Here is a 27997-nt window from a genome sequence, read left to right on the forward strand (position 1 = left end):
CAGGGAAACAGAAACATTCTGTCCATAACATTCTGCCCATGGCAAAGTTTATGTTCTTTTTGCCTGCATTTATTCTGTAAAAAGTAAAGTAGAGGTTGCTCTTCAAAGACTTTCCTCCCTAACTAATTAGGAATAAATAGTAACTTCTCTTAGAAGCAAAATTTATTCAAAGACCTGTGCTCCTAAATATTTGCCCTGGCATGCTTATACTGGTCCAAGCAAGCATTAGGTCATAGCCTGTTCCTCTTCCTTATTTAAAAGTGTTTTTACCTTTCTCAGCATTCCACAAGTTACTTCCTCCTTCCTTTGTTCTCCTCTACCTTTGCCTCTTTTAAAAAGTTCTAAATTGCTAGCCAGTCGGGACAAATACAGAATGTGAGGTCCTGTTCCAGTCAATGGAAACTGGATACAGCAGTAGGGTGGATGCGGCAGGTTATAAATGATGCTGTCTCCTTTGTTTGGTGTACACTCGTGGCAAAACTGCTGATGAGTATACCCTTTCTGCAGGAAGTAAAAAAAAAAAATGGCCACACTAAATAAATCTATGTTCAAGTGCTATTTTTTTATGGCACTGGGGAACAAGCATTTCAAACAATTTGGTGGCAGTCTGTATGGGGATACATTCTCCTCCAGGGGTGGTCTCCAGTCCTCTCTCATGAGGGAGTGCACTCCCCTACCTCATTGAAGGGGCCCTCAGGAATGACAAATTGAGACAAATAAACCCAGACTCTCAGCAACACAGAGAGAAAAAAAAAAAAAAGAAACTGGCCAGCAACCTAGCTTAAAGGATCCTCACATACTGTGGCGACAACTTTGTGCACAGGCCAAGAAAGAAGAAGCTGTGGGAGCCAATAAAGTATTTCCTTGGTGATCGGGACTAAAAAAAAAAAAAAAAAAAAAGCCACAGGACGGTAAAGCATTCCTTAGTTAGGACGTACCAAGGAGAGAGAAACTGCAGGGTCAGTAGATTATTCCTTAGTCGGGATGTCTTGGAGGTTAAAAATAGGTGAGAAATCCCCATAGAAGGGGTGTTGAACCTCAGAAAGAGGTGAGAAATCCCCATGAGGCGGGTTGAACCTCAGAAAGAGGTGAGGAATCCCCATGGGAGGGGGGCGTTGAACCTCACACAAACTCCCAGTAGTAAGAAAAATATTCAGAACCCCCCTTTCCTTTCTTCTTGGGGGAAGAAAGAATAGCCCCACTGCCACCAGTCCCTTCCCTAGGGAAAGGGGAAGGAGGGGGAAAACAGCAGCATAGGTGGCTGGCATGGAACAGGAATTAAAATAAATTACAGAATGTGTAAGCAAAAACTCAGTTGTATATAAGAAAACCCAATTCCCCCCTGAGGAAGAGAAAGAGCCGGAGTCCTTTAAAAATTAACTGCCTGTTTTCTGTGGCTAGTGAGCCTTATCTCTCCCTTTCCCAGGCATTATGAAGACCCTATTTCTCTAGCTGTGCAGCTGCAAGGTCACTAGACAGATAAACTCAAGTCATAAAACATGTTTTTCCTTGAAAAGAAATGATGTCATGTATGTCTCAATTGAATAACTGTCTTTGTTTCTTGCTTCTGTTATACGCTTCCCCCTGCACAAATCTTCCCCCACCCACGAAATGCTTAAAAGGTAACTTGACTCTTTGTTTGGGGCTCAGTCCTTTGGATGTTAATCCAAGTGGACCAGTGCACCTAAATAATAAATATCCTCCTCAATCCCTTGGTCTCTCTGATTCCTTATATATCCCGATACATTTCTGGGGGCTCATCAGGATTGGAGATGACAGATTTACTGTCCCCTTTGCCTGCGATACTAGGTCCCCGGGGCCAGGAGAGACCCGGCATCCAAGGTGTGCCACAGCTGAGCTTCACCCGGATATATAGACCAGCTCTCCCCACGTCCCAGCACCCTGCCTGGCAGCGCAATGGAACCGAGGATGGGGCTGCAGGACGATACCAGCACTTCAGGAACTGTGGTAAGGAGTATAGGCCCAAGGCAGGAAAGCCCGTCCCATAGGGACAAAGGGGAGCTTGATCACCTCCCAGGGACTGACCACTAATCCAACCCAGAGTGGCTGGGGGCAGCAGGAGTGGCCTGCCAATTTGGATGAAGCTTATGTCCCCACTAACAAAGTGAAAGTGGTTCACTGGATCTGGAGACAGGAACTGGGAGTGGTGTGTGTATGTGTGTGAATATGGGAGCCTAACTAGGCTCACCCAGGTCATGAGAGAGGCTCATTCCATCCGATGAGGACTCCTGCAGTAGGAGTGGTGTATGTGTGTGAAAGTGGGAGCCTAACTAGACTCACCCGGGACATGAGAGAGGCTCATTTCGTCCAATGAGGAATCCTGGGGCAAGGAAGGTGTGTGAAAGTGTGTGAAAGCGATGGTCTCGGGAGAGGCCAATGCAGGGAGTGACGTGGGGAGGCACAGATCCCTTAGCACGGGCTGTGTGCTCTGAGGCGAGTGTGGGGGGAAATCAGACCTAGGACATTGCATACAGCTGATAGGACGAGCTTTGCAGCTGTAGCAGGCTGTGACAGGGGAAGACACCTTCCTGGCTAAGCAGTGTCCGAAACTCCTGTAATAGGACCGGGTCTGCTGGACCTGAGAGTGAAAGTGAGAGTGAGAGTGAGAGTGTGCCGCAAGGGAGGAAATGGGAGGGAAAGCGTCAAAACCAACTCCTTTGGAGTGCATGATAAAAATTTTAAAGAAAGGATTTAGAGGTGATTGTGGGATGAAACTGGATGTTCAAAAGTTAAAGACATACTGTGAATTACAATAGCCCTCTTTTAGTGTCAGATGGCTGGCCGAAGGCACTGTAGAGAAATTGGCCGTGTGTTTTAAGGTGGTGACTAGGGTCGGAGGACAGCCAGGGCATTCAGACCTAGTCTTTATATTGACTCATGGCTAAATGTACGCAGCCCTGCCTAGCAGTTTATTGTAGAATGCTCGCAGCTCACGCCGAGATAAACCAACTGTGCTGGCAGCTACGGAGTTAAAGGGAAAGTCACAGAGGCTTCTAGCACCACCGATCCAAAAGTGAAAGTGAAAGTCAGCTGCCCTGGAAGCTATGCAGACCAAAAAAAAAAAAGAGTCTCAGGAAAGAGAAAACCAGTTTTGCAAGAATCACAGGATGGAATAGAGATCCTTCCTACCTATATTCCAATCTATCCCCCCTTACCAAGGCTAATTGCCCCTAAGGAGGTAAGTTCAAACAGATACATGCTCCCACTCTCACCTGAGAAGGAGAAATCGGAGCTCCAGGAAGTTAAAACGAAAGGCTCAAAAAGGTAGGCAGGCCGTCTCAGGTCAAGTCATGCCCAAGTTATGCTTCTGCCTCTTAAGAGGACAAGCAGACCCCCACTAGGACCCAGACGATGCAGTCCAGCTTCAGCACCTACAAAAGTGCCGAGAAGCACTTTTACAAAGGCTAAAGGATGTTAAAAGGAAAAGGCAACCAATATAAAAAAATCTCAGAAGTGCTCCATGGTGCAGATAAAAGCACCAGCCAGTTTTATAGGCATTTTGCTTGTACACTCTGTTTAACCCCGAGGCTGCTGAAAATCAGTGAATAGTAAATACGGCATTTGTAAGGCAGGCCCAAGGAGATATCAGGCATAAATTGCAGAAGTTAGAAGCTCCGTAGGTGTGAATGCTACTCAGCTTATTAAAGTGGCTACCAAGGTGTACATTAACTGAGACCAGGAGGCAAAGAAGAAAGCTGATTGGAGGCTTAATAAAGGCTTATTTACAAGCAGCAGCCCTTATGGGAAGAGAGGCTGGCTTTGCAAGGAGGCATAGATGCGGGTGTGAATGCAGTTGTGGAAAAGGCTAGTCTGGACAGCAATTTGAAAGCCAGCCAAGGCTAGAGAGAGATTAATGTACATGGTGCAAAAGAAAAGGACACTAGAAGGATAAATGTCAAAAGAATAAGGAGAATGGTCAAGGCCATGGTATGAAAAAACCACTGGCCAAGGGCTACTGCACCCAGGAGAAACCCAAGACTGCTGTGAAAGGCAGGATATAAAGGGTCAGAAAAAAGCTCAGATCTGCTCGAAAAGTGTCCAGTACTTAAGCTTTTACATAAGCCAAGAGGAAAGATGGCTTAGTAGTGAACAAAAGCAGGCTGTTTGTGCACTTCCTACTCCAACCACCTGGCGTCGAATAACAGAGTTCCTAAGGGCAGCAAAGTTCTTCCGCATTTAGATCCCAAATTTCTTGCTTGTGGCTAAGCCATTATACAAAGCCACAAAGAGGAGGAAAGAAGGACTCCTCCTCTAGGAGGCCAACCAGAAGAAGGCTTTTCAAAAAATCAAAGAAGCCTTGACTCAGATCCCAGCTTTAGGACTGCCAGATCTAACTAACTAAGCTTATCTTCTTGAATGTCCACAAGTGAAAGGGAGGCCATAAAGATTCTAACTCAAGCCATAAGGTCATGGCATTGCCCAGTGACACACTTATCCAGGCAGTTAGATTCTGTGGCACTTGGATGGCCTCCTTGTTTTAAAGCACTAGCTGCTACTGCCCTACTGGCACAAGAAGCTAATAAACTGACTTTAGAGATGGTGAATACCCTAAACCCGGCTACCTTGCTCCTCATCGAGTCAGTGCCAGGAGACCCCCTTCGTTGCTGTGTAAATGTGATAGATGAAGTGTTCTTAAGCCAGAGAGATTTGACAGATACATCCCTCAGGGACCTGGACATTGAATATTTTACTAATGGAAGCAGTTTCATACTAAACGGAGTCCGCCAAGCTGGGTATGCAGTGGTGACTTTGGATTCAGTAGTAGAGGTGCAGTCTTTGCCTACAAAAACTTCTGCTTAGAAAGCAGAACTAATAGCTCTGACAAGAGCTCTCTGGCTAGCCAAAGACCAAAAGACAAATATTTACACATATTCCAGATATGTTTCTGCCACTTTGCATGTTCATGAGACTATTTACAAAGAAAAAATAATTTTAACTGCTGAAAGTAAAGAAATAAAGTATAAGGAAGAAATTCTAGAGCTCTTAAATGCTGTATAGGCCCCAAAAGGTGGCAGTGATGTACTGCAAGGGGCACCAAAAAGGAAGAATACTAAAGGCTAAAAAAATAAAATAAAATAAGAAAACAGACAAAGAGGCAAAGCAGGCTGCAATGACAACTCCACCTTTTAAAGAGGAAGCCTTAGCTATGCCTCTCCTCCCAGAGATTCCTCTCCTGGATATCCCAAGCTACACTCCAAATGAAAGGGCTTATTTTGCCCAGAAAAATAAAAACTACATTAAAAGGAGATGGTAAATATTATCCAATGGGAGGCTAGCCATACCTGAAATGGTGGCCCCCAGATTTTTAAAAGAGTTCCACCAAGGAACTCACATGGAAAAAAATACAACAACAGAAATGAGGAATGCTATATATCAAAATAGATTGGCTTTAGATTACCTCTTAGCCTCAGGAGGAGGAGTATGTGGAAAATTTAATTTAACCAACTGTTGCCTAGAAATCGATGATAATGGTTGAGCTGTCATGGAAATCACCGCTAGAATGCACACATTGGCCCATATTCCAGTTCAGACTTGGTCTGGGTGGTCCCCGGATTCCTTGTTTGGAGGATGGTTCTCAGCCTTTAGAGGATTCAAAAGCCTCATTGGTGGGTTCTTGGTTATTCTTGGCATCTGCCTCATCCTCCCTTGCCTTTTACCCCTGTTTATTAGAAGTATTCAGTCAACTATGGAGGCAATAGTGGCCTGATACACTACCATGCAGATGATGGCATTAACCAGATATCAGTCGCTGCTGGTAGAAGCAGCAGCTCAGCTCCACGAAGACGTGGCAAATAGTGGTGCTTTCTGTTAACACATTTGTTATAAAAAGCACCAAAGGGGGGAATGGAACAGGAATTAAAAGAAATTAAAGAATGTGTAAGCAAAAACTCAGTTGTATGTAAGAAAACCCAATTCCCCCTGAGGAAGAGAAAGAACTGGAGTCCTTTAAAAATTAACTGCCTGTTTTTCCGTGGCTAGTGAGCCTTATCTCTCCCTTTCCCAGGCATTGTGAAGACCCTGTTTCTCTAGCTGTGCAGCTGCAAGGTCACTAGACAGACAAACTCAAGTCATAAAACATGCTTTTCCTTGAAAAGTAAGAAACAATGTAATGTATGTCTCAATTGAATAACTGTCTTTGTTTCTTGCTTCTGTAATATGCTTCCCCCTGCACAAATCTTCCCCCACAGACAAAATACTTAAAAGATAACTTGACTCTTTGTTCAGGGCTCAGTCATTTGGATGTTAATCCAACTGGGCCAGTGCACCTAAATAATAAAAATCCTCCTCAACCCCTTGGTGTTCCTGATTCCTTATCAATCCTGCTACAGGTGGAGAAAAAAGAAAGACCAGCAGAAAAGAAAAAAACTAGGAGAGGAAGTCAGAGGGAAAGAAAGCAAAAACAGCAAGCATAGAGCCAAACAGCCAGGCAGGCACGCCAAGGGGTAAGTCCCTCTCCCCAAAGAGCTTGGGGACTGGTGCCGGGAGGAGAGCAGAGGAGGTGAAAGGGCATAATTCTTGCAATTTGCGGCAGGCATCTGCCAATCCTCTGGGCCGGTGACTGCCTGGGGCCCAGACTACAGCCGGGCAAATCCCACCCACCCAGCCAGAGAAACTAAGTGTAAAAAGAAAGGAAAAAATATAAAAAGGGAAATCAGGAAAAATAAAAAACACAGGAGAAACAGACAGCTGCGTGTGCGTGGGGGTGGGGCCCGTGCCATGGCCCAGCAGGGCTCGCAGCAGGAGCAGGAGAACTTGGGAAAAGAAAGGGAAACAGGATGAGAGAGAGAGAGAGAGAGAGAGAGGAAAATAGAGCGCAAATGAGAGAGAGAGAGAAATAGAGGGAAAGAGTAAGTAAGAGAGAAACTGGAAGAGACAGAAATCAAAGGAAGATACAGAGAGTGAAACTAGAAAAATAGTGAAAAAGGAAGGCAGAAAGTTAAGACATGCTGAAGATTGTCTGTGAAAGTCATAAGAAAAGCTATAAAAGGGAATTTATGCAAAAAATATTGTATAACTGAAAAACAGGCCTCCTGAATGTAAAATTATTAAAAAAAGTTTATGTACAAGGTATGTAAAAAAATACTTTTAATAACAGGATTATAAAGAGGCATAAGAATACAGATTTTTACCTACATTAAAGGCTAAACTTTTTTTCTGTTTTAAAGATTTAAGCAAGTTTTAAAATGTTAATTGTAAAGGAAATTCTGTGTGTTAACATATTGGCTAAAGTTAAAGGGGTATCATCCAGTTTTTCTGTGAACTGGATATTACAATAAAATCACTATAGATTTTTCTTAAAGCACTAACCTGCTCTTTAACAAAAATTATAAAAAGTTAAAGAATCTATAAAAGTCTTACCTTATAGTTAGACATTAAAATTGGATAAATAATGTCTACAAGATTTTATTAAAATTAAGTTGAACATCAATAGCACATTAATATAATGGTAAAATTTAACTTATCTGGTATAAAATCATACAAAAACATTGTCAAATATAAAATGGTGTTTGGCTTTCTTAAGGCCTAAAGGCAACCCGGTAAGTCACAAGGACCCTCATCCCCAAGGCCACAGAGTGCAGGGTGGTGAAGGCCATAAGAAGGCCAAACATTAAGAGGGGGCAGGGCCACAGTGTCTCCTGGGCAGCGCTGAGCAGGAATAGAGCAAGGGGCATAACCATGAGGCCTCAAGCCCCAGGATATGCAGCAGAAATTATATACTTAATCTATCTTCCACTTTCCCTTCCCTTGGAGCTAAAAGTCTTTTAGCACAGGTAGCACCCCTAGAATTTCCAGTACACCAGCACCAGCCTGAAAACCACATCCTTATCAAAAGATAGAAAGAAAAAAAAACTCAAGCCAGCCTGGGAAGAACCCTATTTTATGCTATTAACCACTGAGACTGCCGTCCGCACAGCCAAGAAAAAAATGGTCCCACCATACTCGAGTCAAGAAAACATCTTCCTCTCAGAATCATGGGTTACTGTACTAGGATTAAGCCCTACTAAGTTAAAGTTAAAGAAAGCTTAATTTTCATATACCTTCTATATCGCTTCCTTTCCTTTCCGTATTTTGTTACTAGCTCCGTTGTTATTAATGTAACTAAGTCTGACTCACCTCAGACCATTGCCTTTAACTCTTGCTCTGTCATACCTTGTGGAAATGTAAAATATCAACAACAGCTAGCCTTTTCACACAAATATTTATGTCCCAGCCCTCTAACTGACACAGGTACCCCTAGCAGTCATTGTTGTAATGACCTGCAGCCAAGATGCTGATTTTCTGCTCCTACAGGCTGGCAACCTTGTAGTAAATGGGACCACATCCCTTAAACTACCCAGGAGCAAAGCTGGACTTCCACGAAAAAGGTTTGTGCAAATCTAAAACCCCTCATCTATTTCACTAAAAGGACTACCCCTTCTCACTGTCAGCCTTATCAGTGTAACCCTGTCCTTCTCTTTATCACCACCTCCACCTTAACTAACTCTAGACCTGCCCTTAGTCGCTTCTGTGGTATGGGGATTGACATAAATGGAAAAGACCCCCTAGGTATTTTTAAAATATGGATTTTTCCCCCATCTCCCCCTTCTTCAGTAGCCTCAGTTCTAGATCCCACACCAGTTGCTCCTACATCTAATAAAACTAGGGTGTCTATTGTAAAAATAAGATATCTAAGACAGACCTTAGCCATCAAGACAAAATATCAAGATGCAAATTCCTGGCTGAAATGGATTAAATAATCCATTCACACTTTAAATAAAAGCGATTATTACGCTTGTACACACGGTAGGCCAGAGGCCCAGATTATCTCCTTTCCACTTGGATGGTCTCCTTGTCATCCAGATATGGAGTGTATGGTGGTTCTTTTTCAAAATCCCACTGCTTGGGATAATCCATCATACTGAGCGCTCTCTGCTATTTCCTGAAATTCAACACCCTGCGGGTCAGCCTCCGAGGGCAATCCAGCTTCCACCTCTAAATGCCAAGTTTACTTTGTGCCTCTCATGGCAGGAGGAAAATTTGGCGTTCCTTGAAAGCATAAAAGGATACAAGAAGCCCAAGCCTTTCCAAGAACTTGCCCATCAGTCCATGCTTAGCCATCCCCAAGCAAATGTATAGTGGTACTGTGGAAGACCTTTACTGGACACTCGGCCAAATAACTGGAGCAGTACTTGTGCTCTAATCCAATTGGCTATCCGCTTCACGCTGGCATTTCGTCAATCTAAAAAGGTAAAAACAAAACACCGCAGGCCAAAGGAAACTCCTTGAGTCCTTTAATCCTCAGGTTTACGTAAATGTTATTAAGGTCCGTGAGAAGTGCCAAATAAGTTTAAAGCACAAAAATCAAATAGCTGCAAAATTTAAATCCATGTTGGTCTGGTAGGTAACCATAAATTAAAAAAAAATTTAACTTCAATTCAATTCTCACCTCGTTTGCCCTTACTATTGGTGTACTTATTCTTGTAGACTGTTATATTATGCCCTGCCTTCAAGGTTTTATGCAAAAACTTGTCTCTGCTGCTCTTACAGAGTTAACTCCTAACTATCCTCCACCCTATTGAAAAAAAATTACCTCTCTTAGAAGGACAAAGAATTAAGTCAAAACATATTAAACAAGACTGAGGAGGAATTATGAAATAAAAAAAGGGGGAATATTGTAAAAAGTAAAGTAGAGGTTCCTCTTCAAAGACTTTCCTCCCCATCTAATTAGAAATAAACAGTAACTTCTCTTAGAAGCAAAATTTATTCAAAGACCTGTGCTCCTAAATATTTGCCCTGGCATGCTTATACTGGTCCAAGCAAGCGTTAGGTCATAGCCTGTTCCTCTTCCTTATTTAAAAGTGTTTTTATCTTTCTCAGCATTCCACAAGTTACTTCCTCCTTCCTTTGTTCTCCTCTACCTTTGCCTCTTTTAAAAAGTTCTAAGTTGCTAGCCAATCGGGACAAATACAGAATGTGAGGTCCCGTTCCAGCCAGTGGAAACCGGACACAGCAGTAGTGTGGACATGTCAGGTTATAAATGACCCTGTCTCCTTTGTTCGGTGTACTCTCATGGCAGAACTGCTAGTGAGTGTACCCTTTCTGCAGGAAGTAAAAAATGGCCTTACTAAATAAATTAAATTTATGTTCAAGTCCTATTTCTTTATGACACCGGGGAACAAGCATTTCAAACAATTCCATTCTAATAACCCCAAGTCTTAGCTTTTTACGGAATCAATTGTAAAGTCTAAAGTCCAAAATCTTATCTAAATATCATCAAACAAGATATGCATGAGACTCAAGATTCTATTTATTCAGAGGCAAAATTCCTTCTTAACTGTGAACCTGTGAAACCAAACAAGTTATGTGCTTCCAAAATACAATAGTGGGACAAACATAGGATGGATATTACTATTCCAAAAGGAAGAAAGAGAGGAAGAGAAACAGTCATGGGACTCAAGCAAGTACAAATCATAGCAAAGGAAACGTCCTAAGATCTTACTTAAGGCTGGAGAATAATGCCTTTAAGATAATCATGGCCCACTGGGGCAGCACCACCTCCCTGACCCCGTTGGGTGGAGGACCCATTAAAAGTGGCAGCATGACCCCCACAGGCAGGGAAGGCACTGCCCATGCTGTGTCTCTCTGCTGTGGCCCTGCCCATGAGGCAATTTCCTGTGGAGGGTGGGGTTGCACTCTCAGTGATCTGCTGGCCTTCTCTTCCTTCACTGATCCCCTGGGTGTTGGTCCTACCTTTAGAAATTAAAACAGCACCCCTCCCCCAGCCCATCCACTCTGGGCTTGTGGTGGGAGAGGCAGCCTTGGGGATATCTGAATTGCCTTTAGGATCTCTCTTCTTTTGTCTTGGAGAATCATGCATGTTTGCAGTGAAATTGTTCTATGGTTTGGTCCTGTGGAGTCTAAGAAATCTGACAGTCTTTGGTCATTTTGTCCTGTTTTTGTTTGTTTCCTTTAGTCTCAGTTGGCAGTGTTACCGCTGGTGTAATCTCTTCTCTGTTCCTGGCTTTTATTGAGATGGTTGATCATCTTTACACAGTCCTTTGCATGCAGATGTACGTATTTGGAGTTGAACAGTTTTCTATATAGCCTTTAAAGCTCGAGGCATAGAGTGCACAGTCTCCCTTCTGCATTTCAATTATTGTTAGTCTAGAGGAGAGACAATTACAAATTACATACATGATTTTATTAACGCGGGAAAATAAAAATGAATCATACCTATTGAACTTCAAATACAGGAACTTAATACCATTTTAGGAGATTATGGACCATGCCTGGTCCTAATTCATAAACAAAATATAGCCAACTCAGATAATAAAAATAAAAATTATAAATAATGCGCCACTCTTTTTATCATACATCAGAAACTAGCCAATTCTGAAGTCTAAAATCTCTTCATATGTATACCCAAGTTAAATGAAAACTTTAGAATGTTTATTTTAAAACAAATATTTAAGTGAGAAATAAATTCAGTGTTCAATTTAGAATTTGATACTGTGTTTTGTGGAAAAATAAAACATTTTCTTCAGATATATGCAATTTTACTTGGTAAGGAAATGAAAATAAAATTTCAAATCTAATACATACATACACACATTCACAAGTGTGTATAAGTGTGTGTGTGTGTGTGTGTGCATATGTTTAGGCATTCCATGTGGAGATTTCTATATCTATATATGTGTTTTACTCTGGCATCTTTAATCTTTTGGAGTTATATGATTAATAATGATACTTTGTTTTCTTTCATAAGAGATGGGAAATAGAAAGCTCAAGAAAGAGTGAGGATGTCACTTCAATGTAAAATTGACAAAAAAATAAAAAGATTATGGTCTGATGCTATCCCTATTTAAAAAGACGATGTAATGATCTCTGTTCTGTAACTGAACAATCGGCCACTGTAGGGAGAAAACTATTCTTAAAGAGTTTTTGTTTTGTTGTTTGTTTGTTTTTAGACAGAATCTTGCTCCGCTGCCAAGGCTGGAGTGCACTGGTTCAATCTCGGCTCACTGCAAACTCTGCCTCCCAAGTTCAAGTGATTCTCCTGTGTCAGTTTCGTAAGTAGCTGGGATTACAGGCATGTGCCACCACATCCGGCTAATTTTTTTATTTTTAGTAGAGATGGTGTTTCACTACGTTGCCAGGCTGGTTATAAACTCCTGACCTAAAGCAATACACCCACCTCGGCCTCCCAAAGTGCTGGGATTACAGGTGTGAGCCACTGCACCCGGCCCCAGCTGAGATTTTTTAATAACTGCTCTTACTAGGTTCAGTCTACATTAGAGTCTCGTTCTTTTTTTCTTTCTTTCCTCTCTCTCTTTTTTTTTTTTTTGACAGTGTTTTGCTCTTGTCAGCCAGGCTGGAGTGCAGTGGCGCAATCTCGGCTCACTGCAACCTCCACCTCCTGGGTTCAAGCAATTCTGCTGCCCCTCAGCCTCAGGAGTAGCTGGGGTTACAGGCACTTGCCACCACATCTGGCTAATTTTTGTATTTTTAGTAAAGATGAGCTTTCACCATGTTGGCCAAGCTGGACTTGAACTCCTGACCTCAGGTCCTCCCAAAGTGCTGGGATCACAGGCGTGAGCCACTGCACCCGGCCTCATTCTTTTTAATATCACTTTGTCCATGTGTTCCTTCGATTTCTTTCTCTGTTTTTTCATACTACTTTCATTACACTTCTGCCAGAGTACCTAACTAACTACACTGGATTATTTGTTTGTAACTACATCTCTGACTAGAGTTTGAAGCTCTAAAATGAGTTTTATTCTACTCATCTCTGTAGTTATCTCTGCATAATTCCTGGAAATTGTGCAGTAATCAACCAATATTTACTACATGCATAAACAGAAAGTTAGTATGCTAGTTGTTTTGCTTCTGAAAAAAAATTTTGTCCTTGTAGATAGGAAAATATTGAGAAACTATGATATAAACTCTTATTTTTTAGAGAATCAATGTTTTTTCTGTTAAAAAAACTCTCAAGCCATACATAAATGAGGCCATCCTGGATCAATTCTAAGGTATACTGGGGCTTCCAAATTACAAATAGATAATAAGGAAGGAAGGTAGGGAGTTCTTGCTACAATAAACACAAGGGGAAAATTGAAAATAACACATGAGAGTAAAAGGTTGTGCATTGATCATTGCCAATTAATCATTAAAGTAGCAAAGTAAATTTAAAAATCAGCGAAAAGAGCACTTTTTTAGTCATTTAATAGTAAGTCTGGCTCCAGAGCCAGAAATATATATATTTGAGTCCTCATTGCAACAATTATTCATTTTGTAACTTAAGTGAGTTATTTAACATGTTAAGATTCTGTTGTATACCATTAGAATTAGGTTAAAATAACACCTGTATACAGGATTGTTAAGTATATTTAATGAAAGGATACATTTAAGTGCTTAAATCTGTGTCTGACAGACAGGAAGCACCTAATTAACCTAATTTTAACATTGATATTGTTGTGACTTTTTATTACATTGAAGAATTGGAAATTCAAATATCTAAAGTCCCCTTGAAATAAAGAATTATAATATTTACAATCTAGAGGACTTCTGCAATATTTGTGATATTATGAGACTGAAAAAAGGAAAAGCAGTAGTGACAAAATGCTTAGGTTTCATTCCTGATCGTTGTAGCTGAATGAAGAAATTACTGAACAGTGTAGTGACAGGTCAGATCTTTCAAATGGTAGAAATGACCTTTCTTGAATACTCTAGCATTAATCTGGAGAATTACAACTATATTCATAAGATCAGTGAACATTAAGATGTTGTCACTTAGTCTGGGTGTGCTGAATTGCTCTGTGCAATCAAGTGGGTAAAAGAGCAGGCTATAAAAACTACAGACATGGGACACTTCAGAATCCAGAAAGACCAAGCTGTAGTTCACCGGACACAGAAATGGAGATAAGAGATTTGAAGAAATAAAGAAATGTAAAGATATGCAGAAGGTCACCTTTGAATATTCAGCAGAGTACTTACTAATGCATGTATGTAAAAAACTACTCCAGGATGGAGAAAGAACTGTCTGAAAAGATTTAGGGTAAACAATACTTAGTGCTAACATAGGGTCTAGTATTTTGCCTGTTTCTACCAGCCATATTACAAAACTTTGTATTTCAAAGGTTATCACATAGAATACATAGAAAACAGCAGAATAAACATTTCTGATCAAATACACCTAAAACATTTTTAAAAACACACTATAGTCTAGTCCATAACACTGATGTCAATAAATTTAAGTTTTAAATTATACAAAATAATTCGCTAATGAAAATGAAATTAAATTAGAAATCAATAATAAAAATGTCTGAAAAATTCACAAATGTTGAAAACTAAATGACACATGTAAATAATCAATGAATCAAAGAATGCAAAAGACAATTTAGAAACTATTTTTAACTGAATGGAAACAAAAAGTAGTATCTCAAAATATGACGGGATGTTGCCAAATCATCTCACATATTAATAGTATAACTTTTATTAGAAAAAAAGGTTTCAAATCAACATATCAGCTTTCAATATAAGAAACTAAAAAAGCAAATTTAACCTACTATAAGAAGACAGTAAATAATAAAGATCAAAGCAGAAATCAGTGAGAAGAAAATTTTTACCTAAATGGCAAATAAGCACACACAAAAAAATGCTACTTAACATCATTGCATTAGTAAAATGCAAGTTAAAACTACATTCATATACCAAAACACATCATTTAGTGTGTCTGAAATTTACTTATTTATTTATTTATTTATTTATGAGACAGGGTCTTGCTCTGTCACTCAGGCTGGAGTGCAGCGGCGCAATCTCGGCTCACTGCAACCTCCGTCTCCCGGGTTCAAGCCATTCCCCTGCCTCAGCCTCCCGAGTAGCTGGGATTACAGACACCTGCCACCCCGTCCAGCTAATTTTTGTATTTTTAGTAGAGACAGGGTTTCACTGCATTGGCCAGGTTGGTCTTGAACTCATGACCTCAAGTGATCTGCCTGCCTCGGCCTCCCAAAGTGCTGGGATTATAGGCATAAACCACTGCACCCAGCCAGTATAAAATTTAAGAGGCTGATCAAAACAAGTGTTGACTAGGATGTGAAGCAACTTCTCTGTCAGATTTTCTCTTACATACTGCTAGGTAGAAAGTAAAATTTGTAAAATATCATCACCACTTTGGATAACAGTGTGGCACTTTAAAAAAAGTTAAGTATATACTTATATGATTCAGCCATTTTGTTTCTAGGTGTTTATGTTAAGGGAAAGAAAGATTTCGTTAATATGATACAAATACTTGTACACAAATATTATTAGCAAGTAGCATTATTTGTAATGATCAATAACTGGGAATTACCTAAATATACATCAATAAATGAAGAGATAAAAGGAAATTAACTCTTTACTCATGCAATGAGATGGCTGAATCTCAAGATAACTTTTCTAAGTGAAAATAAGACATTGCAAATGATATATATTGTAGGACTTCATTTATATTAAATTCTATGAATTGCAAACTAATCTAAAGTGACAGAAAACTGATTGACTGGAAAGAGAAAGAGGTAAGGACATAGGGACACAGAGGAGAAATCACAAAGGTGCATGCTTAGAGAATGTTTTCCAGGTAATTTATATGTTAACTATCTTGATGTTCTTTATGTTTTCATGGGCTCATATAGTTCTCGAGACTTATCAAATTGTATACTTTATATATGTGCAATTTATTATATGTTAATTATATCTCAACATGTCTGGTAATAAATTCAAAAAGAAATGTATGTAATATTTAACCTCTCTGTTTCTGTCTCTTTATCTGTAAAACGAACATATTAGACCTGCCTTCCACAGTACTTACCATATAGTAAACAATTTGTATTACTTACTAGTATTTGTGTTGGCTGCTCTACAACTAATACAACTTTCTCCCAAATTTAGGGCCTAAGCACTTTTTACTAAATCTATTAGAATGTGCAAATGTCCTGGGATTATGTGAGATGAGTGATTAGAATTATTACAGGGAAAACTTAGGAAAAAAATTAAAAAGAAGAGACTCATTGGGTCAGAGACTTACAGGTTGGGTGAGAGAATGGAGCCATCTTCCCACTGCCAAGATCCATTTGTTGGAATGTGTACTAGTCCCATCCAATGATATGACTTCACCAGTTTAAGTAAATCCTGTTTGAAACCACAAATAAACTATAAGTAAAATCAGTGTTGATAATTTTAGTAAACGCAAGACCATAACCATTTCATCTGTTCTCACACTTGTAAAAAAATGCATTCTGTCCACTAACTGGCATAATTCTCATCCGAGCACACATACATGATACCTACAATTTCTGTGCTTTGTTATTTTCAATGAAGAAAGATTTAGGGTTGGTATTAGAATAACCAAGTCACAGTGTCCCTTATATGTTCTAGGTTCATATTCCAGTGAGTTGTCTCAGATGTTAGGATTAAATACAGGATGGGAAATTAAAATAAATACTCAACCTGGTCCTCTTTGCTGTATACTTTCAGAAGGCTGGCATTTTGAGACATACAAGAAGCCTGGCTCTCATACCAGTTTTTACTCTCATCAAAAAATTGGTAGCAGTTATTTTTGTAACATATCCAGTTTTTAGGACATGGGCCACAGTAACTTTCTGGAAAAGGAGAATATATTATTAATTCTACACATCTGAACCATTATAGCAGATTTTGTCTAGACAAATTAAATGCCTTTTTCACTCCAACTCTAAAATTTCAGATTATTAAATTATTACAGTCATAACCAAAGGCATATCTCTACATATTCATAGAGAGAAGCCAGGCTGGGTGTGGTGTCTCATGCCTGTAATCCTAGCACTTTGGGAGGCCAAGGCAGGTGACTCACTTGAGGTTAGAAGTTTGATACCAGCCTGGCCAACATGGTGAAACCCTGCCTCTACTAAAAATACAAAAATTAGCCGGGTGTGGTGGCTCACGCCTGCAGTCCCAGCTACTTGGAAGCTGAGGCAGGAGAATTGCTTGAACCTAGGAGGTAGAGGTTGCAGTCCCAGGTACTTGGGAGGCTGAGGCATGAGAATTGCTTGAAACTGGGAGGCGAAGGTTGCATTGTGCTGAGATCACCCCACTGCACTCCAGCCTGGGTGACAGAGTGAGACCCCATCTCAAAAAAAAAAAAAAAAAAAAGAGAGAGAGAGAGAGAAAGATGATGTCAAACCTAAGTAGCCTCTACTTTTTACAAGTATTCCCTCATTGTTAAAAGGAAAACAGAAGCCATAGTGTATTACAGACTAGAATTAATTACTTTTTCCTTTTTTAATCATGGAATACATGTCTACACAATAATGTAGGTAGATACATATAATATATGATCTAAAATATTTTAAAAATTCACTTACCGGTCAAGGGAATTTGAACTTCTTGGTTGAATAATGCTATTAAAATAACCATAAGTATTAAAAGTTTGTATTGTTAGTAACTTATAGTATAAGCAAATATAGTTTACAAATTTCTGGACTAATAGCAAAAATGTGACAAAGATACATTTAATATTTCTAGTTTATGTGTCTGTGTTTATGAATACTAACAAAAATAATACATTAGCATTGTTAAATTGACAATGTTGCAATCTACTTCTCTGTTGTCACTTACAGTTTAGGAATACAGCACTCCATATTGTTACCATAATAATGAAACGGATTCCCATGGCTACAGCGATGAAGCAGCAGAAAAAAAATGGAGATGCTGTCAAAGAAAAAAGACACAGATCAGAGAAAGAAGCATAAAAGGTTTGGGTATCTTTGTATTTAATATAAATATTAGAGTTTTTTAAATGAGAAGGTGGTATTGATCCTTTTTCTGCCTTAATAATTTTTTCCAGAACAGAACATAAATACCTCGCAAATGATCAAAAACTAGAGTACAACAATGTAATATTTCCTTCTATACTTCTCTACAAGTTCCCCAGTCATCCCTAGAGTAAATTATGCTTATGATTTTTTGTTGTTATTGTTTTTTTTTTTTTTTTTTTTTTTTGAGACGGAGTCTCGCTCTGTCGCCCAGGCTGGAGTGCAGTGGCGCGATCTCGGCTCACTGCAAGCTCCACCTCCTGGGTTCACGCCATTCTCCTGCCTCACCCTCCCGAGTAGCTGGGACTACAGGTGCCCGCCACCACTCCCAGCTAATGTTCTGTATTTTTAGTAGAGATAGGGTTTCACCGTGTTAGCCAGGACGGTCTCGATCTCCTGACCTCGTGATCCGCCCGCCTCGGCCTCCCAAAGTGCTGGGATTACAGGCGTGAGCCACCGCACCCGGCCGTGATTTATTATTTTTATGCAGATACAATAATAAACATAAAGAAGGAGGAAGCATCATCAAGATGGCTAACTACAGGCACCCAGCACTCACTTCCACAAAGGACCAAAACAACAAGTAGATAACCACACATTGAATAGAGTGTTGAAGGGAGAAGGCTGGAATTCAGCAAGAAAGTGACCAAGTCTCTCTGAGGCACAGATGCTCAGGGCGATAGCATAGAAAGGGAAGAGAAGCAGGTGACATGGATCAGCTTGGAGCCAAGAGGGACTCTCCACTGAGGAGAAAAGGTAAACAGGAGCTCCCCAGCAGTCCACATTCCCATTATAAATACCTGCTATCCTAGGTATAGGAGAGCTCCACATTCCTCACGATCCCTGAGTCCAGTATAGGGAGTTCACTGACATCCACATAACTGCATTATTCCAGAGTGGGAATTCACACTGGGGTCCCTCCTCTTCTCTGGAACACAGGCTGCAGCAGCACTGCACCATTTTGAGAGTGTAGCCACCACCAAAGTACGCTCTGCCCTGGGGCCTAATAGTTCCTTTATCTTCGCATGTTTGGGGCCCAATAGCTTATGCATCTTCACATCCCTGGGGCCCTGCTGACATTCCACCAAATCCACCTAGAGGACTGTAGCATAGCCACACCAGGTGATCCCAACCAAAGGTGTAGTCATGACCCTTGCATCAAGCCTATACAGAGCCCTATGCCCAGGGAACAGGAGATGCAGCCAAGCACAGAGTCTGTCCTCAGCATAGAGAGAGTCATGCATGCGCCCCCCCAGATTCCCAGAGCCACTCACTTGGAGCCCAGTGCCACCACTGCCAGCAATCCCACTTTCTCCAGCAGCAGGCCAGAAAAGCATGGGATGATATATTCAAAATGCCAAAAAAAAAAAATACCTCCTCCCAAACAAGAATACTGTATTAAGCGAAACTATCCTTTAGAAATAAAGGAGAAATACTCTTCCAGACAAGCAAAAACTGAGGGAATTCATCACCACTAGACTAGCCCCACAAGAGATGCTTAAGGGAGTCCTATATCTGGAAGCAAAAGGACAATATCTATCATCATAAAAATACACAAAAGTATAAAACTGGTTGGTAGAGCAGATACACAAATAAGAAAGAGAAAGGAATCAAACATTATGGCTACAGAGAACCACCAAACCACAAAGATAAATAATGATAGAGGAGAAAAAAATCAATGGGTAGGCAAAACAACAGGTATATCAGAAAACAATTAAGAAAATGGCAGAAGAGCAAGCTGGCTGTGAAGAACCCTTTAGTGATTATCTTCTCACAGAAACATCAAATTAAATAATTATCCATGCAAGAAAATACCTTCAAAAGAATTCAAGAAATTAGGTGCGCTATCACAGTACCCTGATTTTAGCATGATAACGAGAAAAAACACATTAAAGAGGTAAGAAAAGATGGTCTTGCCTTGCCTAAACGCCTCTCTTCCAAACCCAGATAGTGCAGTGCTTAGAGAAAAACTGCCTGCTTGGGAAATGGAAATAAGAGTGTGGGACTTTGTGTCGGAACTTAGACCTGGCCCCACCACATTGGAACACAGCAAAAGACAGAGACCCCATGGCCCTTGATTCCAAACCAGTGCTCATATGGGGAGCATTTTGACCCACCGTGGGCCAGAGGTGAATCCACTGCTTAGGCAGGAAGAACCTTAGTCTCAGCCCACTTTATCACCAGCTGACTAAAGTGGCCTTGGTCCCAAGAAAATTTCAGTGGTTGCAGGCCATAGCAACCATGGCCCTTGGGCAAGCCCTGGCACAGCACTGGTCTGGGAGGCTGTGGACAAACAGAAAACTTTCCAAACCCAGAGAAAGATATGAATAACCAAATACCGGAAGGTCAAAGATTAGCAAGCAGATTCAACCCAAATGAGATCACCACAAGACATATAAAATTTAAATGTTCAAAGCTCCAGACAAAGTGAGAATTTTAAAGGAAGCAAAATTTAAAAAGCAAAATAAATATAAAGAAGCTTCAACACATCTGTTAGCAGACTTCTTAGCAGAAACTTTATAGGCCAAGAGGAAGTGGGGTGACATATTCAAAGACCCAAGGAAAACAAAATGCCAACTGAGATACCGTACCCAGCAAAACTATCGACATGATGGAGAGAAAAAGTATTTCTCAGGCAAACAGAAGTTGAGTGAATTTATTACCACCAGACCTGTCTTACATGATATGCTAAAGAGAGTTTTTTCAGTCAGAAAAAAAAGAACACAAATGTGCAATAAGAAAACATTTGAATGTATAAAACTCACTGATAAAAGTAAGTACACAGACAAATTCAGAATATTCTAATACTGTAATTGTGGTGCCTCAACCACTCAGATCTTATGAAGACCAAAAGACAACTCTATCAAAATAATAGTAATTACAATTTATTAAGAGATAGTCAATATAAAATGATGTAAATCCATACAAACATAAGTCAACATGTGAGAGGAGATGGAGTTAAAGTGTAGAGTTGTTTAGTTTTTTCTTTTGTTGTTTTGTTTTTCTTTGCTTTGTGATCAAAGTTAAGCTGTCATCAGTATAAAATAATTGCTATAAGCTATAAGATGTCCTTGTAAGTCTCACAGTAACCACAAAACAAAAACCTATAATAGATACACTAAAATGAAAATCAAGGAATTAAAATACACTGCCAGAGAAAGCAACTTAATCACAAAGGAAGACAGGAAGAAAGGAAGACTTACAAAACCACTAGAAAACAAGGAACAAAATGGCAATAGTAAGTTCTTACATACCAATAATAATATTAAATGCAAGGGGGCTAAATTCTCCAAGTAAAAGACATAGAGTGACTGAATGGATTAAAAACAAAAAAAACCAAACAATATATTGCCTACAAGAAACCCACTTTGCTCATAAAAACACACATAGACTGACTGTATAGGGATGAAAACAGATATTCCATGAAAATGAAAACCAGTAAAGAGCAGGCACAGCTATACTTAGATAAAATAGACTTTAAGTCAAAAAGAGTAAAAAAGAGTCAAAGAAGACCATTATATAATGACAAATGGGTCACTTCAGCAATATAATATAGTATTTATAAGTATACATATGCACCCAATATTACAGCACTCAGATATATTAAGTAAATATTAATAGATCTGAAGGGAGAAATAGATGAATACAATAAGGGCAGGGGAGTTCAACAACACATTTTAAGCAATGGACAGATCATTCAGGCAGAAAATCATAAAAGAAACATCAGAGTAAAACTATAATATAGACCTAATGAACCTAACTAAATGTACAGAACATTTCATCCAACTGCTGCAAAATACACATTCTTCTTATCAGCACATGGAACATTCATCAGGACAGACCATATGCTAGGTGATAAGTCTCAAAACATTTCCAAAAGTCAATATTATATCAAGTAAATTTTCTGACAACAATGGAATAAAACTAGAAATTGATAACGAGGAACTTTGGAAACTGCACAGATACATGAAAATTAAACAACATGCCTTTGAACAAATAAACAAATTCAGTAAAGTTTCAGGATCAAAAATCTGCATACAAAAATCAGTAGTGTTTCTATACACCAATAACAAACTGGATGAAAAAGAAATCAAGAAGTCAATTCCATTTGTAATACCTACAAATAATAAAATACCCTGGAATAAATTTAATCACACAAGTGAAAGACCTCTACAATGAAAACTGTAAAATACTGATGAATGAAACCAAAGAGGATGCAAAAAAATGGAAAGACATCTCATGTTCATAGACAGAAAGAATATTGTTAAAGTAATCATATGACTCAAAGCAATCTACAGATTCAGTGCAATTCCTAACACGATACCAGTAACATTCTCTACAGAAATAGAAAAATATCTTAAAATTTATATGGTACCACAAAAGACTGAATAGCCAAAGCAATCTTGAACAAAAATGAAGAAAACTGGTGGCATCACGTTACCTGACTTCAATATATACGACAAAACTACAACAACCAAAACAGTATGGCATTGATATAAAAATAGACACCTAGACCAATAAAACAGAATAGACAACCCAGGAATAAATCCATGTATTATAGCCAACTGATTTTTCCAGAAAGTCACCAATAACATACACTGGGAAAGGAGAGCCTCTTCAATAAATGAAGCTGAAAAAACTGGATATCCACATAGAGGAATGAAATTAGACCCTCATCTCACACCATATACAAAAATCAACTCAAAATGGATTAATGACTTAAATATAAGAACTGAATCTATAACACTACTAGAAGAGATAAGAGAAACACCACAGGACATTAGTCTAGGCAAAGATTTTATGGGTAAGAATTCAAAAGTACAGGCAACAAAAGCAAAAAGAAACAAATGAGATTGTATCAAACTAACACACTTCTCTACTGCATAGGAAACAATTGACAGAGTGAAGAGACAACTTGTAGAATAAGAGAAAATACTCGCAAACTATTCCTCTAACAAGAGACCAATATCCAGAATATACAAGGAATTCAAACAACTCAACAGCAACAACAAAAACTGATTTGAAAATGAGCAAAGGATCTGAATAGATATTTCTGAGAAGATATACAAATAGCCACAGATATATTTTTTGAAATTCAACATCATTCATCATCAAGAAGATGAAAATCAAAACCACAATGAATATCATCTCACCCTAGTTAGAATAGCTATTATTTAAAAAGACAAAAAATAACAAATGACAGTGAGGATGCAGGGAAAGGCTAATGTTTATACAATTTTGGTGGGAATGTAAATTAGTATAGCCATTATGGAAACAGTATGGAGGTCCCTTAAAAAACTAAAAATATAACTACCATATGACTCAGCAATCTGGGTCTTTCTCCAATGGAAAGGAAATCAGTATATTGAAGTAACGTCTGCACCCCCATGTTTATTGCAGCATTATTCACAATAGCCAAGATATGGAATTAACCTGTGTCCATTAACAGATAAATAGCTAAGCACACACAGACACACACACACACACACACACACACACAGAGGAATACCATTCAGTCATAAAAAAAAGAATGAAAAGAATGAAATCCTATTATTTGCACCAACATGGATGAGTCAGAAGTACATAATGTTACGTAGAGTAAATCAGGCATGGAAAGATAAATACCACATGTTCTCACTCATATGTAGGAGATACAAACTTTTAGCTCACAGAAGTAGAGAGTAGAATTGTGGTTATTTAAGGCTAGAAAGAATAGGGGGGAGGAGAAGATTGGGAGAGGTTGGTTAATGAATACAAAATTACAGCTACATGCGGGATTTTTCTAGTGTTCTATAGCACTGTAGGGAGAGTACTGTTAAGAGTAATTTATTGTATATTTTCAGATAGCTAGAAGAGAAGGTTTTGAATGTTCCCAACACAAAGAAGTGATAAATGTTGAGGTGATGGGTGTGCTAATTACCTTGATTTGGTCATTAGACATTGTATAGTTGAATGGAAATATCACTGTATCCCATAAATATGTATAATTATTACATGCCAACTAAAAATAAACAAAAATTACCGTTCCCCTTAACTACATATTAAAAATACATTTTAAAGAAACTATAATACACAAAATATCCTATGAATTTTTTTTTTTTTTTTACCTAAGACAATATCCTGGTGATTAGTCCTCATGGCGTATAAGGATACCAAATTTATAAATAGCTGCATTGTATTTCACTGACAACTCTGGACAGATCTAATTTTTGACGGACTGTCAATTTTTTTTTCCAGTGGATATTTAAATTGTTTCTTAGGTCTTGCTATGAGAAATAATGATACATTTCATACCCATCTGTGCATATTTTTGAGTCTCTCTCTGGGATAAATTCCCACAATGATAATTGTTGAGGGAAAGGGCATGTGTGTTTTAAATTTTGGTAACAATTGAATATTTTAGTCCAAAAAGGGATTTTTACATATAGCACTTTGCATTCCTTAAATTAATTCTTGTAAAGAGATGCTATTTGTTAATAATTTGTTTCTTAGTTTTTAATAAAAATTGATAAGTGAGGGTCATCTGTTGTTTTCCTTTTCATACAAACTATATAAAGGTCTATTACCAATAATATTCTGCTTTGAAAAAAGTCATTGGAGAATATATCTTCTTCACTGAACTCAGAAACAATTCTATAAATAATAATCAAGCTACCACTTCTATAATGTTTAGGAACATATCTCTGGAGGGTTTTTAAAATATCTTTTCTCTTCTCTTTTTCATTTCTATTTAGTTTTCTTTTCAGTGATCTCTTAGAAACTCCTGCCTCGATTATATTATCATGATAATAAACTCATCATTTTTTAGGGCGTGACAATATTCTAAACTCAATAGCTTTTAATACCATAATTTTATTATATATTTTAATATTATATGAGAGTTCATGTTATTCCTGCTTTCCTCATGAAGATAAAGTCAACTGAATGATTGCCATTCATTTAATCACATAGTTTCCAAGATTCATTTCAATATACTGAGAGTAGACAAATGGAACATAGGACTTACCATTTTCTCTACATTTGCTTTTGACTACTGGACATCTTTGCTTTTGCCATCGTGTTGAAAAATCACTCTTCTTCAGATCCAAGTTATAATTATGAAATTCACTCATCTCTAGAGAAAAAGAATTCAGGCTTATATGAGTCATGGCCTTTCTGCCATTTGGGGCATAAATTTTAAAAATTCAGCTTGCCATTTCCATCTATGTACTTCCCCTGACTATCCTTTTTAAAGTACAACATGAACTTACTTTTGTTTTATAGTACTACATTATTATGTTTACACTTTACTATATAAATAAAACTATATTTATGCCATGGAAAGTACCCTTAGCAAAATCCTATATACTATTAAAATTAGTTAATTCGTAATGTATAATGAAACCTAACATTACCAGAAAGGGACTTGGTTAGTGAAAAGGCAGATGTAGGGAGAAAGACATGTATTTAAATCACAGATCCACATATACAAACTTGATAACTTCACAAATAACCTAGCTTTTGCATCCCAGTTTTCCTAATTTGCAAAAGACGAAAGAAATAAAAAAGAAAAGGATACTGTCACAATCCAGTATGGGTATTTTAAAAATAAAATAAAAATATAATGAACTTAGCATCAATAACATCAATCATTTAGTAAGCTTTTAGTAAATAGCAGTGTGTCTAATTTTCTTCTTTTCTTTTTTTTTTTTTGAGATGGAGTGCAATGGCGTGATATTGGCTCACTGCAACCGCCGCCTCCTGGGTTCAAGCGGTTCTCCTGCCTCAGCCTCTTGAGTAGCTGGGATTACAGGCTTGTGCCACCATACCTGGCTAATTTTTGTATTTTTAGTACAGACGGGGTTTCACCATATTGGCCAGGCTGGTCTCGAACTCCTGACCACAGGTGATCTACCCACCTCAGCCTCCCAAATTTCTGGGATTATAGGCATGAGCCACTGTGCCCAGCCATCTAATTTTCTTTATAATGAAGGACATACATAGGCTAAAATAGTGGGGTCTAATGATTTAGAACAAAGACAGATAATCTTGCCTCTGAACAAAATACCTAAAGAATCATTTTGCTCTCTTGAAATATTAATTATTTACTGATGATTAATATTTACTTAAAAGCCTTTTTTAAACTTTTATTTTTGGTTCAGGGGTGCATGCGAAGGTTTGTTACATATGTAAATTCATGTCACGGGGGTTTGTTGTACAAAAGCCTTTTATAAATTAAATGATAATATGAATTATATTTTATAGGTAAAATTAGACATTGATTGCGCATGTAATACCTAACTCAGTTATTTTACATATGGAGTAAAGAGAGTAGGTATCACTTTATGGATGAAGAAATTGAATGCTAGAGATGGCCAAAATCATAAAGCTTATTTAATATAATGTTACCAACTGTGAATAAGTTATAAATTTATAAACACCTTTAGGATAAAAAGTGCTTTAACATACATGTCAGTTGATTTGAATATTACACAAATCTAAGATAAATATGGAATGTTTCATGCCTGTATTTGATAGAAAAAGAAACTAAACTAAACTACACAGAGGTTGCAAATTGACCCTTCAAATCTAGAGAGCGGTAAAAGTTTGAGTAAAATTCAAGTCTGACTCCACATCTATTTCACTATTTCAAGCTGTCCCAAGTTGTGAGCGACTTTACCATAATATAGTTAATAAAATAAAGGGAAAAAAGTTTTTAAGTTTTGGAAGACTTGATTTAAAATACAATATGAACATAACATGAAATCAACATAAATAGAACATGAAAAGAATCAGAGTAAATTGCTTGCCTATGCCTTATATGCTTGTATGAAATTCTTGGTATCTTAAAATTGTATAAAAACAAAACTACACACTTATGTGGTAAAAACATACCCCAGCTGTGTCGAGACCTCCGACCACGAATCCACCCCATCAAATACTTATAAGTGCACGTCTACCGCAGAGAGGAATCTAAAGTCTTCAATGCACAAAGGATTCCTGAATAAAATAAAACTGGGCATTTGTTTTTTGTTCTCTTTCCCGTGGTGAGATAAAATATTTTGAATAGAAAAGTAAAATGCAGAAACTTTTCCCCTGTGCATGCCTTTAAGAAAAGAATAGAAATGACAATTCACATAAAGCCAGGCAAAATTAATTTTATACATTTCTCTTGGTTGTAAAATAATCGCCAATTACTTCAAAATGTCATAACAATATAATGAACCTATTAATTCACCTACATTGAGATATTTAATACCAATATTTTACTTTACTGATATTAGATAACAACACACCCAGTTTTCTGTTTATAGTCGTTTATTGCTTCTTGGCCTTTTAGCTAAGATCAAGTGTTTCCAGTTGTTTATTTTATCTGGCAATAATTTAGTTTTCTTTCTGCAAGCTAAACTCAGGTAAGTTATATGCACTTTTGTTGAATGTCCTTTTCTAGTGCATTTTAATCCAACGTGCCCATATCATCATCATCAACAAATTATCATCACCATCATCATTAACAAAACTAATCTCACATGTTTATATAGTAACATCTTAGCAATGCACAGCAGAGCTTCCAGAAAAAACCATTTAATAAATAAGCATAGTGCTTAGATTTCAAAAATAAAAGCTATTTCATATTTGATTATGATAGTTGGAAAGCACAGATATAACTTGTTTCACCTTGCATGTAAAGATGTGTATCAAAGGTAAGTGCCCCCTACAGCATCAGAAAACTCAAAAATTTGACAATTTAAATTGAATCTCAATTCTTCTCATCCTAAATGTAAAGATTCATTTTTCTAGTTTTGCTTAGAGACAAGGCTTCTTCTTATAGTAATATTACAACTTCTGATTCTTCAATAAGTATATCCTAATTACCTATCATCAGATACAGTGATAGAATATACATCAGAAATGATAAGCATTCCGTATCCTCAGGAGTTCTATTCAAGCATCTAAGAAACAATTAGAATTACCTTATAGTGTAAATATTTTTATTTTTTTGAGGTTGAAATATAATTTCTCATATCTTGAATAATAAACACACACACATACACACATACACACACCTGCTCAGAGAGGGAAGATCTTGATTCTTGTGGATAAAAGCCTTCTATAAAACTAGAAAATTTAGATATGTCCTCAGTTCCTGATCTAGAATTGAAAGTGGAGATACTTAGTGAATTTCT

General features: G+C 38.0%; 2 protein-coding genes and 1 long non-coding RNA gene across 3 annotated transcripts in view, besides 3 other annotated features; 1 reads left to right on the plus strand and 2 right to left on the minus strand.

Moving 5' to 3' along the window:
- Positions 1 to 1703: 1703 nt before the first annotated feature.
- KLRK1-AS1 (KLRK1 antisense RNA 1) overlaps positions 1704 to 27997 on the plus strand; it is a 34738-nt gene continuing 8444 nt past the window's right edge. The window contains exons 1-3 of the long non-coding RNA NR_120430.1: positions 1704 to 1968; positions 11970 to 12071; positions 17637 to 17771. This is a non-coding gene — a long non-coding RNA (KLRK1 antisense RNA 1). The remainder of the gene's footprint in view (positions 1969 to 11969; positions 12072 to 17636; positions 17772 to 27997) is intronic.
- Positions 2175 to 2224: an enhancer, noted in NCBI's record as "active region_5960". NCBI's record gives its function as "activates an Ori minimal core promoter by ATAC-STARR-seq in GM12878 lymphoblastoid cells {active_cell/tissue: GM12878}" and the evidence as "EXISTENCE:reporter gene assay evidence [ECO:0000049][PMID:35858748]".
- Positions 2685 to 2754: an enhancer, noted in NCBI's record as "active region_5961". NCBI's record gives its function as "activates an Ori minimal core promoter by ATAC-STARR-seq in GM12878 lymphoblastoid cells {active_cell/tissue: GM12878}" and the evidence as "EXISTENCE:reporter gene assay evidence [ECO:0000049][PMID:35858748]".
- Positions 10132 to 10332: a silencer, noted in NCBI's record as "peak1570 fragment used in MPRA reporter construct". NCBI's record gives its function as "represses an SCP1 promoter by STARR-seq MPRAs in K562 erythroleukemia cells {active_cell/tissue: K562}" and the evidence as "EXISTENCE:reporter gene assay evidence [ECO:0000049][PMID:32103011]".
- On the minus strand, positions 10288 to 27976 carry KLRK1 (killer cell lectin like receptor K1). The gene is made up of 8 exons (NM_007360.4): positions 27878 to 27976; positions 26706 to 26810; positions 24838 to 24945; positions 17635 to 17727; positions 17382 to 17417; positions 16489 to 16640; positions 16067 to 16170; positions 10288 to 11166 (listed from the first exon to the last, which is right to left on the minus strand). Exons 2-8 carry the CDS (start codon positions 26743 to 26745, stop codon positions 11049 to 11051), a joined length of 651 nt encoding a protein of 216 aa, NP_031386.2. The 5' UTR covers positions 26746 to 26810; positions 27878 to 27976; the 3' UTR covers positions 10288 to 11048.
- Positions 10288 to 27997, minus strand: part of KLRC4-KLRK1 (KLRC4-KLRK1 readthrough) — a 37794-nt gene continuing 20084 nt past the window's right edge. Inside the window, exons 7-13 of the mRNA NM_001199805.1 lie at positions 26706 to 26810; positions 24838 to 24945; positions 17635 to 17727; positions 17382 to 17417; positions 16489 to 16640; positions 16067 to 16170; positions 10288 to 11166 (exon numbers count right to left, since the gene is read on the minus strand). Of these exons, the coding sequence (NP_001186734.1) occupies positions 11049 to 11166; positions 16067 to 16170; positions 16489 to 16640; positions 17382 to 17417; positions 17635 to 17727; positions 24838 to 24945; positions 26706 to 26745 (651 nt within the window). The 5' untranslated portion in view covers positions 26746 to 26810 and the 3' untranslated portion in view covers positions 10288 to 11048. The remainder of the gene's footprint in view (positions 11167 to 16066; positions 16171 to 16488; positions 16641 to 17381; positions 17418 to 17634; positions 17728 to 24837; positions 24946 to 26705; positions 26811 to 27997) is intronic.

The sequence above is a fragment of the Homo sapiens genome, chromosome 12 (assembly GCF_000001405.40).
Source record: "Homo sapiens chromosome 12, GRCh38.p14 Primary Assembly".
In the NCBI taxonomy this organism is placed as follows: Eukaryota; Metazoa; Chordata; class Mammalia; order Primates; family Hominidae; genus Homo; species Homo sapiens.

Bases quoted from the DNA above. Each gene is read 5' to 3' on its own strand.
- KLRK1 (NM_007360.4), bottom strand. From the start codon at position 26,745: ATGGGGTGGATTCGTGGTCGGAGGTCTCGACACAGCTGGG. The intron at 24,946-26,705 runs GTATGTTTTTAC...CTTTTTCTCTAG, and splicing joins GAGGTCTCGACACAGCTGGG to AGATGAGTGAATTTCATAAT. The intron at 11,167-16,066 runs GTAAGTCTCTGA...TCTCTCCTCTAG, and splicing joins TCCATTCTCTCACCCAACCT to ACTAACAATAATTGAAATGC.